Source organism: Homo sapiens, chromosome 5 (assembly GCF_000001405.40).
Source record: "Homo sapiens chromosome 5, GRCh38.p14 Primary Assembly".
NCBI lineage: Eukaryota > Metazoa > Chordata > Mammalia > Primates > Hominidae > Homo > Homo sapiens.
Window position 1 is genome coordinate 77,019,792 of NC_000005.10, and position 13,851 is coordinate 77,033,642.

The 13,851-nt window shown below is 42.3% G+C and overlaps 1 protein-coding gene across 1 annotated transcript in view, besides 3 other annotated features; it reads left to right on the forward strand.

Annotated features, from left to right (window-relative positions):
- Window positions 10,271-10,850: an enhancer, noted in NCBI's record as "H3K27ac hESC enhancer chr5:76325887-76326466 (GRCh37/hg19 assembly coordinates)". NCBI's record gives its function as "activates a minimal SCP1, AML or CMV promoter by ChIP-STARR-seq in naive H9 embryonic stem cells {active_cell/tissue: H9 hESC(naive)}" and the evidence as "EXISTENCE:reporter gene assay evidence [ECO:0000049][PMID:30033119]".
- Window positions 10,490-10,839: an enhancer, noted in NCBI's record as "active region_22699". NCBI's record gives its function as "activates an Ori minimal core promoter by ATAC-STARR-seq in GM12878 lymphoblastoid cells {active_cell/tissue: GM12878}" and the evidence as "EXISTENCE:reporter gene assay evidence [ECO:0000049][PMID:35858748]".
- The window catches only part of AGGF1 (angiogenic factor with G-patch and FHA domains 1), a 34,831-nt gene continuing 31,592 nt past the window's right edge, over window positions 10,613-13,851 (forward strand). The window contains exon 1 of the mRNA NM_018046.5: window positions 10,613-11,185. Within this exon, the coding sequence (NP_060516.2) occupies window positions 10,976-11,185 (210 nt within the window). The 5' untranslated portion in view covers window positions 10,613-10,975. The remainder of the gene's footprint in view (window positions 11,186-13,851) is intronic.
- Window positions 10,851-11,430: an enhancer, noted in NCBI's record as "H3K27ac hESC enhancer chr5:76326467-76327046 (GRCh37/hg19 assembly coordinates)". NCBI's record gives its function as "activates a minimal SCP1, AML or CMV promoter by ChIP-STARR-seq in primed H9 embryonic stem cells {active_cell/tissue: H9 hESC(primed)}" and the evidence as "EXISTENCE:reporter gene assay evidence [ECO:0000049][PMID:30033119]".

Genomic DNA, 13,851 nt, shown 5'->3' on the forward strand with positions numbered 1-13,851 from the left:
TAATGCTGGTAATCTTATTTTACAATTGCACTTTTTGTGATTTCTTAATTTGTCTGTCTCTCCCACTAGACTTTAAATGACAAGGACCTAAACCTATTTTCACTCAACCTTGTACCCCTCCCTCTTAGAGCCTTGCACCAGGCCTAGCACACAGTTGGTGTTCCACAAATATTTGTTGAACAAATAAACATTTCTCTATTTTGCCTTCAAACCTTCTTGAAGATTTTATCTACACTTTAGAGATAAGCATGAACAAGAATATTGGTAGAACCATGTTAAAGATGTAAGTTTCCTGTGCCACAACTCTCTAGGTCTTACCCAGATGACTTAAGGCTTCATCCCACATGACAGTTTCAGTGATTGGTTATAGCCACCTGGGGCAATTGTGTTGAGAAGGATTATGGAGCCAAGCCTGGGCTCAGAGGGAAAGAGCCAAGTACAGAATGGCTATATCCTTGCTGTGTATGTGCTAATCACACCTCACGTTGACATGATCACCCTGCTGAGAGAAGTGGGACCAAGGAATAATCACACATATCCAGTGTTTCACACAACTTTTTTTAGCTCATAAACTCTGTGAGTTCCACAGTCCTACACCACTTCAGACATCTGTCCATAAGTAACTCGGGTCTTCCTGTGCACTTAGTGGTCTTTCAACTTAATTCAGTAGCATACGCTCAACCCTTACTATCATGGGAATGTGTTGGTGGTGCTCAATACACAGGGATTCTGTTCAGTAATCATTTTAAAAATAAATTTTATTTCTAGGATAGTTTTAAGTTAAAAGCAAATTTTACTACTCATTTTGAAAAGTCTGACTCAAATGGTAATCTGCAAATGTAACCAATTGCAATTTGCATCAACCCATGTAGTATATATATATGTGCATGCACATACACACACAACCAGTTACCCTCTTCTTTCCACTATCATTACAACTTCTTCTGTATATCACTTCTTGGTTAATATTTGTCAAAGGGGAAGGAGAAAAGCCCAAAACTTCAAAACACACCAGGAGCATTTTTATGTCATACTGGTTGAAAAATATTCACAAACATTTCTTTCTTTTTTTTTTTTTTTTGAGATGGAGTCTAACCCTGTCACCAGGCTGTAGTGCAGTGGCGGGATCTCAGCTCACCGCAATCTCCGCCTCCCGGATTCAAGTGCTTCTCCTGCCTCAGCCTCCCGAGTAGCTGGGATTACAGACACGCACCACTACGCCCGGCTAATTTTTGTATTTTTAGTAGAGACGTGGTTTCACAATGTTGGCCAGGATCGTCTGATCTCCTGACCTCGTGATCTGCCCGCCTTGGCCTCCCAAAGTGCTGGGATAACAGGAGTGAGCCACTGTGCCCGGCCCTTGTTTGTTTGTTTGTTTGTTTGTTTGTTTTTGAGACGGAGTTTCGCTCTTGTTGCCCAGGCTGGAGTGCAATGGTGCGATCTTGGCTCATGGCAACTTCCACCTACCAGGTTCAAGCAATTCTCCTGCCTCTCAAGTAGCTGGGATTACAGGCACGCGGCACCACGCACGGCTAATTTTTGTATTTTTAGTAGCGACGGGGTTTCTCTATGCTGGTCAGGCTGGTCTGCAACTTCCGACCTCAGGTGATCTGCCAACCTCGGCCTCCCAAAGTGCTGAGATTACAGGCGTGAGCCACTGTGCCCAGTCTCACAAACATTTCTTTACCAAATTTCTGGTAAGTTTTAAGGTATTAATTGCTGGAGACTTGTCAATTAATACAACTGTCTTTTGTGGCTTTACAATAGGGATACTGAGACATTCATCAGTTTTAGGCGATTTTGTCATTGTGTAAACATTATAGCGTGTACTTACACAAAGACTTACACAAATCTAGGTGGTATAGCCTACTACTACACACCAAGGCTACATGGTATAATCTGTTGCTCCTAAGCTATAAGCCTGTACATCATGTGACTGTACTGAATACTGTGTAAACATAGAAAAGTTAATGCATTGTGCTATGACGTTACAGAGGCTACAACATCACTAGGTGATAGGAATTTTTCAGCTCCATTATAGTCTCATGGGATCACTGTCATATATATGGTCCATCATCAACTAAAATGTTATTTGGTGTATGACTGCACTTGACTTCTGGGGAAAATGTTGGAGGACATAAAACTTTCACTCTGAGCCAACTGATATATTTCTTAACTGAAAGGTTTCCTAGGTCATTCACACAGAGGAAGAACAAAAGATGGTCAAGAAGAACCCTGCATGTTCTCAAATCTTCCACAGCTAATGGAAGTAGCACCAGGAAGCCAGAGGTTCTTAAACTTACTCTTATTTTATCATAATGTCAGCAATTATTCCTTCAGTTGGAATTCTCTTAAAGTGTTCCTAGAGGACAGTACAGTAAATGCTTCACCTAAAAGTTAGGTTAGTAAAAATTACTAAGATGTTTAACAAAGTAGAGATGTTTAACAAAGTAGATAAACTACATTAAAAAAGACTATGTCATTTAGGCATTACATTAGGCTGAATGAAATAAAAACCCTGCTATGGTGACTTAATCAAGAAGAAGTTCAGAAACAGGTGGTTCACAGTGACATTAACATCCCAGGATCCTCCCATCCTTCTGGTTTGCTTTCTTTAGGGTGTGGTGTTCATCTCACAGTCAGGAAGTGGCTTCTCCACCTTGAGCATAATGTCCATCTTTCAGGTAGGGAGAAGAAGAAGAAAGAGAAGGGCAAAAACAAAAGACTGAATCTATCTTTTTTAAACAGGTGATACGGTTTGGCTCTGTGTCCCCACCCAAATCTTATCTTGTAGTTCCCATAATTCCCACGTGTTGTGGGAGGGACCTGGTGGGAGATTATTGAATCTGATCATTTTAAAAATGGGAGTTTTCCTGCACGGTTTCTCTCTTTTGCCTGCTGACCTCCATGTAAGATGTGACTTGCTCCTCCTTGCCTCCTCCCATGATTGTGAGGCTTTCCCAGCCACGTGGAACTGTAAGTCCAATTAAACCTCTTTCTATTGTAAATTGCCCAGTCTCTGCTATGTCTTTATCAGCAGTGAGAAAACGGACTAATACAACAGGAAACTACAGCTTTTCCAGAAACCTTGCCTGTAGTCTACTACTTATACCTCATTGGCCAAAACTTTGACATATGGTCACCTAGCTGCAAACAAGAGTGAGAAATGTAGACTTTAGCTAGGTGTATTGCTACCCAAAACGAAATTCAGGTTCTCTTGTCAGAAAGAGGAAAATATGGCTGTTGGGTTGACAACTAGCAGTGCCTACCACAAAAACACTTTTTAAAATTGCAGCCAGAAAGGGCTTAACTCCCAGGAACCTTGGAGACTGTGAGAAAATGAAATAATTTAATATTTTGAACATAATTATTTACAGCCCCAGGCTCATGTTCAGGTTCAGGCTGAGGGCAAAGATATGACCTTTGCTCCCACCAGCAGGCAATTAGACATAGTTGAGCAAGGGCTAGCTTGAGTGATTTTTAAAGAACTAGGCAGGCACCTTCCTGCTTATGCTGTAGGATACCTGAAAGGCACCAGCAAGCAACGAACAACCTCAGAAGAATTTAACAATGATTGCTGATTTTTGTATTTGGTATCCAATTTTAACACTAAAAAATTCCTGTTGGAATGGGCCAGTTGCATTCAAAAAAGCACAGTTCAAATAGCCAAAAAAACTTTTTAAAATAAAAAATCCAAACTGACTTGGCATTTCTTGAGAACTATTAAAAGGGCATCATTTCGCACTGCCCAGTAACCCTTCTTACATCCCTTATTCTCTCCTCTCCCATTCACTCACGCATTTTGTTGTATCTTACAAAAATATTAATCCATAATGAACTAGAATTTTTAAAAACATCCTCACCACAAAGAGTTTAAGTACTGCTCTAGTATGAACCATTGATTTTGCCTTCTAAAGACCTAGAATTGGTCCAGTGGGACAGACTGTCCTTTGAGAGTTCGAATTCTTATTATTAAGGGAGAGTAGAAGGGAGGAGGACTTGGGAAGATTCGTAACACAGCAATGTTTTAACTCATTATACCATCATAAAAGGAAGGTACAAAATGTAAGAATTTTAGCTGGGGGTGGAGAATAGTGTCTTACTTAGCTTCCTCGGGCTTCCTTTACCATCACTCCAGTGTTTTAATGTTATATCCCCCCATTTTTTTCTTGGGCCTCCAGGGGAGGAAACGGGTAATGGTCAATTGACCAAAAGTAACATGGGGCAATAAATCAGAACTATTGAAATGCTATGGTTCCCCCAGATATTCTCCTGTGGCATCAAAAAGTTGAATCAGGTAAGGAAAAGTTGGCTACCCACCATATCCAATATAAATTATGACAGGTGGATATTAATTAAATATAAATTGATGACACTCTAAAAGAAATTGGACATAAATCAGCTTTTATTGAATTGACAATATTCTTCTGTTGTGGAATATTATAATATCTCAGGCATTTGAACTCCAGCCTGATTCAATTCATAGGCTCCTGGAATGGCTCTAGATCAGATTGAGTATCAATTAGCTATTGCTGCATACTAAACACCCCAAACCTCAGTGGCTTTAAACAACCATCCTTCATTATTTCTCACAAGCCTAGGGGTGATGTGTGGGCTGGCTGATCACCACCACCAGGCTTGCTAATGTGTCTGAGGGTTTCCTGAAGTCTCTGCTCTAGCCTGGACTTAGCTGGAGCATCTAAGCTAGGAGAGGTCTGCTCCCTGTATTATTCATCTTTCTCCTGAGACCAGCACACATGCCTGGGTATGTTCTTCTTGTGGCAATGGCAGGAAATCCAGAGGGCAAGCAGAATCACTAAGGCCTTGGGACTTAGGCTTAGATGTGTCACTCTTCTGGCACATCACATCATTCTGCTGACCAAAGCAAATCACATGGCCAAACCAGCTCAAAGGTGAAGGGGAGATTCTTCCCTTTTAGTGAGGAAAACCACAAAATCACATGTCAAAGGATGAGGAAGAAGACCGATAAAGAACTGGGGCCATTCATGCAATTTCCAAAGTGTGATGGTTAATTTTATGTGTCAGCTTGATTGGGCCACAAGATGCTCATTTATCTCCTTCAATATTATTTCTGGTGTGTGTGTGAGGTTGTTTCCAGAAGACATTTGAATTGCCAAACTAGGTAAAGCAGATGGCCCTCCCCAATGTGGATGGGAATTCTCCAACCCACTGACGGCCTGAATAGAAGAAAAAGACAGAGTAGAGTTGAATTCTTGCTCTGCCTGACTGCTTGAGCTGGAACATTGATCTTCTCCTGCCCTTGGCACTCCTGGTTCTCAGACCTTCAGACTCGGATTGGAATCTATACCATTGGCTCCCTGGCTCTCATGCCTTCAAATGACACCACGGGCTTTCCTAGGTATCCAGCTTGCAGACAACAGATTGTGGGACTTCTCAGCCTCTATAATCACTGAGCCAATTCCTTATGATAAATCATATGACAGCCAGGCACGGTGGCTCACACCTACAATCTCAGCACTTTGGGAGGCCGAGGCAGGTGGATTACCTGAGGTCAGGAGTTTGAGACCAGCCTGACCAACATGGTGAAACCGTGTCTCTACTAAAAATACAAAATTAATTGGGTGTGGTGACAGGTGCCTGTAATCCCAGCTACTCGGGAGGCTGAGGTGGGAGAATTATTTGAACCCGGGAGGCCGAGGTTGCAGTGAGCCGAGATCACACCACTGCATTCCAGCCTGGGAGACAGAGCGAGACTCCATCTCAAAAAACAAAACAAAACAAAATAAATCATATGACACTGAAGTTACAGAAATCACTTTTCTAATTTGAATCATTTTTTTAAAACAGAGAGATTTCACATAAAAATCCTGATTGATTTTTTTTTTTCGAAAAATCAGAAGCTTTGCAACACAGGGTCCACATTCCCATATGTCTCCACAGTTCGCAGGAGCTGAGTAGCAGCTGCCCTGTCCATTCATTTGCTTTATCTCCCTAGCCCTTGGAGCCATTTGAGTTTGCTTTACACAGTAGTAGTTCTACAGCCAGATCTGTTTCTCAAGCTTCAGATAGGCTTCTGCAGTGCTCACTATTTACTGAACACCTCAAATTCAATATAATTAACAATATCGAAACTAAAGCATCCCTTCCTCCTCATGCAACATACTCTTCTCCAATAGTCCCTATCTTCCTCATCCAAGCTAGAAACCTATTCATCACTTTGACTTTTCTTTCCCTCTCTAATATACTACAGTATACAATTTTATTCACAATAAAACTACGGTGTGTCTAGGAAATAACCTAAGAAAGAATACCCAAGACCTTTCCCGAAACAAGTGTTAAAATTGTACTAAAGTCCAAGAAAAATATTAAGCAAAAATGTATGTGAATTGACTATCTAAATAAAGTTTTATGTTAATTCCCCTAAATAAATCTATACATTCAATGTAATCTTAATAAAAATCCCATTGGATTGTTTGAGGAACTCAACGAACTCATTCTAAAATTTATATGGAAAAATAGAGGTTTATGAATAAGCTGATTTTGAAAAAGAAAAACAAAATAGGGCCTTGCCCTACCAGTTAAGGCATACTAAAGAACCTAAGTGATAAAAACAGAGTGGCTCTGGCATGGGAGCAGACTAATAGACAAGTGGAAAAGAATGGCGAGCTCAGAACTAGGCCCATATATAAAGATGGGAACCTGATGGAAGATGATGGTGGTACTACAAAGCAATGCAAAGGGGATGGTCTTGAGAAAACTAGGTCATGTCTGAATACCCCCAGCTGGAATAGAGAACAAATGTGAAAGTTCAAATTATAAGATCAATAGAAGAAAATATGACTTGGGGTAAGGAAAGTCTTCATGAAACCCTACACTGTAAAGCCAAATAAAATTTTAAAAAGTAAAATAAAATAAAGACTGATTTCATGACATACAAATTAAGAACTCCTGGCTAACAAAGAACACTGGACAAAGCTAACAAATATATGACAAACTGGGAGAAGATATCTGTAATATCTAAAACTGATAAAGAAGGAATACCTTGTTTATATAAAGAACTGCAAAATAACAAGAAAGAAATGGGCAAAAAGATATGGATAGGCAATTCACAGAAAGGAAAGGACATATAGCCATTTCAACATATATACATTTCAACAAATGTATGAGATTCTCTAGTAATCAGAGGAGTATCAATTAAAACAGCAAGGAAATAGCTCATTATATTCATAATGGCAAAAAGTACAAAAAATGGTTCATATCATTTATTGGAGAGGATGTGGGAAAAAAACATTACAAAACAAAATCAAATCGTGAAGGGTGTCAAGTAGAATGCTTTTTTAGGGCAGCGCCTCTGCCCACTATGCTAAGTACCTCTTAGATCTGAAAACTAGGTGTGGCAAAGACTGCTATTTACATACTCAACATGAATTTTGCCCTTCTTCCTTACTTGTAGAACCCCTATATTATTAGGAGAATAATGCGTCTAGCTTAGAAAAACACACATATACACATAATTCCCAGCCCCACTTGCAGCAAGGGGTGGCTATTGATAGGTAGACAGGAACCATTGAGTGGGGCTTTGGGAAAGTCCTTTCATCCCTTGCCATCTTGCACCATGGATCGACCTGGAGGCTCTGGAAACATGCTCCGAGAATAGCAGAGCAGAAAGACATACCGAGCCTGGGTCCCTGAAGAACTGTGGAGTCACTGGCCATGGACTGCCCCTCTCTAGGCTTCTGTAATGTAACAGGATAACACCCTAATTTGTTTAATAAGCCACTATAGACCACCTCTGATACTAGCACCTTAATGCAATTCCTGATATTCAAGGCTTTTTCTAAAAAAATGTCATTCTTTTCTAATGGTCAGAGGTAGGATACAGACTGGTATTACAAGGTAAAGATAACTTAGCCTTGAACAGATTAAGACAAATAAGAGGAGCACTGCTTCAAGTAGCAGTCAATAAGCTTATTTATTTTTTCTCCAGTTAATTACTAAAAACTGAAATATCATCTTAAAGATACCTTTCAAATGGTATTTATGGAATTTCTTATCCCCTAAAGAAAATAGGTGGAGAAAGTAGAAAATAGCATCTTTTTAAAAGGACTTCAATATGTTCATTAATGGAGTCATAATGCATCAAGGGAAGTCAGAAATTTTTTGCAATACATCTTTTTTTTTGCATCACAGGGGACATACCATGTCTTCTCACTAAACTTCCTTTGATGGCTTAAGGTTACTCTTGACATGACAATAAGGTAGAATCTCTATGTTTCCAGATACAGTGCCTTGTGAAGAACTCTTCAGGCCTAAGGAGGAATGTGTACAGGCCCTAGAGAGGGCAGGTCTCTGCTGGAAAGCTCACTGTTTATGAATAATCTAGTGGGCAGTGCACAAGACAAAAATACATACAGAGCCATATTTTAAAATTTAGATTTTATTATTATTTATGTATGGTGAGGCCAACAGATCAGGAGATGGTCTGCTATCAAAAAGACAGTTTATTATTCACCCAGCCCAAGAGGAGGATGCACACCAAGCCACACAAGGCAATGTGGAGAAGCACCAAGGTCCAAAGGAGGCAGAAGGAGTGGGAGGAAACATGGCAAAAAACATTATGTGATTTTTGCAGGAAGGAATGGACAAATCAGGATAAGCAGGTTTAGTTTGCATAATTTCAGTGGGATCTGAGATGTAGGAGTTGTTCCTAGTTGTCTGGTACTTTGCCCTGGAGTGATTAGGGCAGGGGAATATTGGCATGGAGTGTAACAGCCTGATAAAGAAGGTAGATGATCAGTGTGTGGCATGCTGGGTGAGTTGTTTGCTATGTCTAGGAATTAGCTAACCCTTGGAGGGGTTATCTCCCTGGTCAGGGAGACCCCAGATGCCAGAGCATCAAGAATACAAAAAATAAGAAAATATAGTTAATGGAAGTGGCCACTGATCTAAGACACCAAACAGGATTCTCTTGTTCAGCTGTGTTCAGCATTTACGGATACTGCTCTGCGACAGGCACTGTGCTGGGCCCTGAGAGAGGAGCATCTGCATGACACAGCTGCTGACCTCCACAAATCTCAGGCCCAGGACTCTGAGCTCATGATCTAATTCTAAATGACTTTGGCAAAGGAAGGAAGTGTGTTCCAAAGAAGGCCACATCAGTTTAAATATTGGCAAACCAATGCCAGGGTCATGCAGACAAAAGACCAAATAAATGCACCAAACCAGAGCATTTTTCTCCCCTTTTCCACAGAATATTGTCTCTCTCTTATTTTCCCACCAGGGATGCTCCTTTTTGCGACTCAGACCTAATGTACTTGCTCTATTTTCCCGGGGGGTCTAAACTCAGGAACCAGAAGAATGACTAAATGAGAAATAAAAGTAAAATTCTGAGCCCCTGAACTGACTGAATAGACCCATTGTTCACTACATAGAAAGCCAGTCATTGAGACAAGGAGTATTGCCAGGGAAGAAGGTTCTATTTGGGTGCTGCAGCCAAGGAGAATAGGAAATCAGTCTCAAATCCATCTCCTCAACCAACTAAAATTAGAGGTTTATATGGCAAGGGAGAAATGTGACTACATGTGAGAAAACAGGAATTAGTGAGCGGTAAGGATGAGGACTTGTTCAACAGGCAGCAGGTGGCTGGTTAGGCAATCATGATGGGTGAGGGGTATGGTGCCTCATTGTCCAGATGCAGTGATCTGGTAAGTTTCAATTCCTTGATACTATCTGGGAGGCCTCATGGTTGGTTTCCCAAGAAAGGAACTCAGATAAGAAAGATGTAACTTTCTGAAGTTTTAAGACTGGGAGGGTAAATTTCCAGGTTTATTCAAAAGAAACCATAAACATCAGTTCTATAGGACAGTTGGGCTGATTTCACACCAACCAGCATTCCTTCCTGATAAGAGACCACCAACCACAGAGAAGTTCTGGCCAATCTACCAGGGACTCACAGCGAGGGTTTTCATGTCCTCTGCTTTGCCATTTGACATCAGAGGGCTGAAAACTTCACACTGGGATCATGCTAACACCACCATTTTTTGAATATGGGTCCCATAGAGAGGCAGGAAGCTTAATTGTGCATGTGCATATTTCTCCTTTCATAAATATTCATGAATCCTCCTACAGCTCATTGAATATATTTGGCCACCCTGCTCAGCATAAATTTCTGTTCCCTTTGTCCTTCCTTCCAAGTGTCTGTTCTCAGCTTCTGACCAGAGGCTATGCTTCCAAGCCTGTCAGAAAGGCCACCCTGCAGGCTGTAACCCTTCATGAGAAATAAAGCCCTTTTCTAAATTTATTAACCTCCTCATTCTTCAGTTGACATAAGTAGAGCATCATAGTCCCCACAAATCATTTCTGGGATACTCTGTTCTTATTTGTAAAACAAGGAGATAGGAAATGCATGCTATACTAAAAGTTTGTTCAAAGAACATCCGCACGTGCAAATGTCTGAGACCAGAGGCTGCAAGCCTCCCTGTCGCTCTTAGGGCTTCGGTAGCCACATTGCCACAGCTCTCCACGCCCTCAGGTAACGCCCCTCCGCAGGCCGAGACGTCGGCACGTACACTGTCAGGTCTTCCCGCTTTCCGTCGCTTCCTGTTCCGTCTTGGTCCCGCCTGCCGCTGGCGCCGTTGTTTCCGGCTCAACTGGGGAGCTGCTGGAGCTCTTCTGGCCTCTGGTTTTCCGACTGCTTATCCGACGCTCCTCCCTCTGTCTCTGTAGCTGGAGAAGGTAGTTTCCAGGAAAGTTTTCCGGTTTGCAGGCCGCGCACATCGGGCAGGGGCCATCCTCGGTCCCCTTGCTCGTTGCTCGCAGCCCCGTTCGGCTACAAGTGAGTTTCAGGGCGTCATGGCCAGGGGCCACCGCGGCCAGCCGGGTGTGAGGCTGCCTTTCGCTGCCCGCGCGCTCCAGTGGTCTCTGGGTCCGCCGGCGTCCGTTTCGGCCTGAACGCAGCCCCTCCGCGGCGACGAGCAGTCTCGCGCCGGAGCTCATGGCCTCGGAGGCGCCGTCCCCGCCGCGGTCGCCGCCGCCGCCCACCTCCCCCGAGCCTGAGCTGGCCCAGCTAAGGCGGAAGGTGGAGAAGTTGGAACGTGAACTGCGGAGCTGCAAGCGGCAGGTGCGGGAGATCGAGAAGCTGCTGCATCACACAGAACGGCTGTACCAGAACGCAGAAAGCAACAACCAGGAGCTCCGCACGCAGGTGCGCGGTCCTCCTCAGCCCCGCGCCCCATCCAGCCCAGGCGAGGCCTTCGAAGCCCGTGATAGCCTCGGAAGGGGTCCCTGGCAGGGGCTCAGAACTACTGTAGAGTACTTAAAGTAAATAAGTAGAAGCTCAGCGCAGTTACAATTCCAAGTACCTTAGGAGCAAACCTGAGTTCAGGTTACTTGATTTAAATCAATGTCTCGCGGCTGGCGTGAATTGAACTTAAGTACTGTGGCTACATTGTCTTCATTCTCACTTGACCTAACATCCCATTGGCAGTAGGCGCATTTACTGTAGATCACATTTGAGTTTATTAAAATGCTGGACTTGAGTCAGAATCCCATCTCTGCTATTCACTGGGTGTGTGAACTTATATACCGAGTCTCAGTTCCCCATTAAATGAGAATGATAGCTCACAGTAGTAAAGGTGAAGTAAAACAAACAATTTTACAAACTTTTGAATGCTATACCTGTTTAAGGTTGCTCTTCTGGGCGTTTATCATCTTCGGCTTTCTTGTGTAAGTAGGGACGATATATAACTGCTTTTGTTGGAGACGTTAAGCAGCTTATTTCGTTTCCAAGATGGTAGGGGCAAATGTTAATACTTAAACTGTCACATTAAAAACAACCTTGGCTGGACGCGGTAGCTCACGCCTGTAATCCCAGCACTTTGGGAGGCCGAGGCGGGCAGATCACCAGGTCAGGAGTTCGAGAGCAGTCTGGCCAGCATGGTGAAATACAAAATTTAGCCGGGCGTCTCTACTAAATACAAAAATTAGCCGGGCGTGGCGGCGGGCACCTGGAATCGCAGCTAGTCGGGAGGCTGAGGCAGGAGAATTGCTTGAACCTAGGTGGTGGAGGTTGCAGTGAGCCGAGATCGTGCCACTGCACTCCAGCCAGGGCGACAGAGTGCAACTCTGTCTCAAAATAAAAACCAAAAAACCAAGAGCATAGTATTTTTTTCTACCTTGTTGGCAGGCCCTCTCTGCCAACAGATTATTTCCACATAGTAACTAGTTTCAATTTGACCGTTGTCTAGTCCTTCATAATTTATTGGTGGTTTCCTAAAACCAGTATATAGGCTGAACACTGAAACGTCATCAGACTTCTTTGTTTTGTTACCAAATGGACTATGAAAATAACTGTTGAGTTGCAATGACTTTGTATGACCATTACATGGAGTTCCTGACATGACATTATTGGAAAGTTTTTGTTTAGTCAATTTAAACACCTACGGTGTGTAATAACTATGCTAGGAAAATACAAATATGGTAAAAAAAAAAAAAAAAAAAAAACAGGGAGAGGTGGCTGGGCGCGGTGGCTCACGCCTGTAATCCTAGCACTTTGGGAGGCCGAGGCGGGCGAATCACGAGGTCAGAAGATCGAGACCATCCTGGCTAACACAGTAAAACCCTGTCTCTAGTAAAAATACAAAAAAAATTAGCCGAGCGTGGTGGCGGGCGCCTGTAGTCCCAGCTACAGGCTGAGGCAGGAGAATGGCGTGAACCCGGGAGGCGGAGCTTGCAGTGAGCCGAGATTGCGCCACTGCACTCCAGCCTGGGCGACAAAGCAAGACTCCGTCTCAAAAAAAAAAAAAAAAAAAAAAATGGGGAGACGGGAGCAAAATATAACAGCCTTTTTTACATGACAGCCTTTTGAAAAGCTCCTTTATAATTCTAAATTGTTGAAGTACTGCTTGCGTTAGAGATTCTAAAAGAAAACGTTTTTTGCTAATCTTCAGAGAGCCAGCATTTTGGTGTTACTGTTAATTTGATAAATCAGACTAAATGATGGGACTTTGTGAACAGATCCTTTATTTCTTACAGAAAAGAATGTTTTTATGCTAATATTTTGAGAGGTCAGCAATTCTCCCTAAAGAATTAGAAAATTTAAGAGCTATCAATTCCCATTCATGTTATCTAATATCATTCAATGTTCACGTGGATTTAGTTATTAAATGTTAATGCCTCTTATAAGCTTTAATACACTTTAAAAAAATAGTAGTTCTGTGACTAAACTGCAGCAGAAGCGAACAGAAGGTAATTGCCTGAGAGGATCATCTGTCCTCCACATGCCTCCATTTTAGTCCAATATTAAAAATTTAATCTCATAGAAAGTCTTGACTCTACTTTGAATAGTGATAACTCCTTACTCTCCTAGTCAGCCTCCCTTGGTTGGGGAGAGGGTGGATTCGATTAACTGTCATTCCAAATTACTGAATGTGTTTTATTTGGAGCAGTTAAAAAGTTTTGCTTGAGAATGATAACTGGAGAACCATAATATGTATAGGGTTTGTACAAGACCCCAAAATAGCCTTGTGCAAATTACTTTGTCTTGTCTGATATTTTATGTGTAAAATTGGGGTTAGGACAACGAATATTTCAGGTGGTTTTGTGAATTAATGAGATGTTATCTAAAGCATCAAGTATAGTGCCCAGCATGTAGTAGATACTAAGTAATCTAATTCATAGTGATAGGGACAGTAGCCAGAGCCAGGATTTAGGGCAAGGCAATCAGGCTCCTAGGGCGAGGAATTTAATGGGGCACTAATTCCCAGCGATGAACTCTGTACTTGCATGAATCAGAGGAGCGCCTCAGATTTTTCACGATCAGTGTCTTGCTTCCCTCACTGTAGTTCCTGCCCTAGTATTAGCAACAGATCA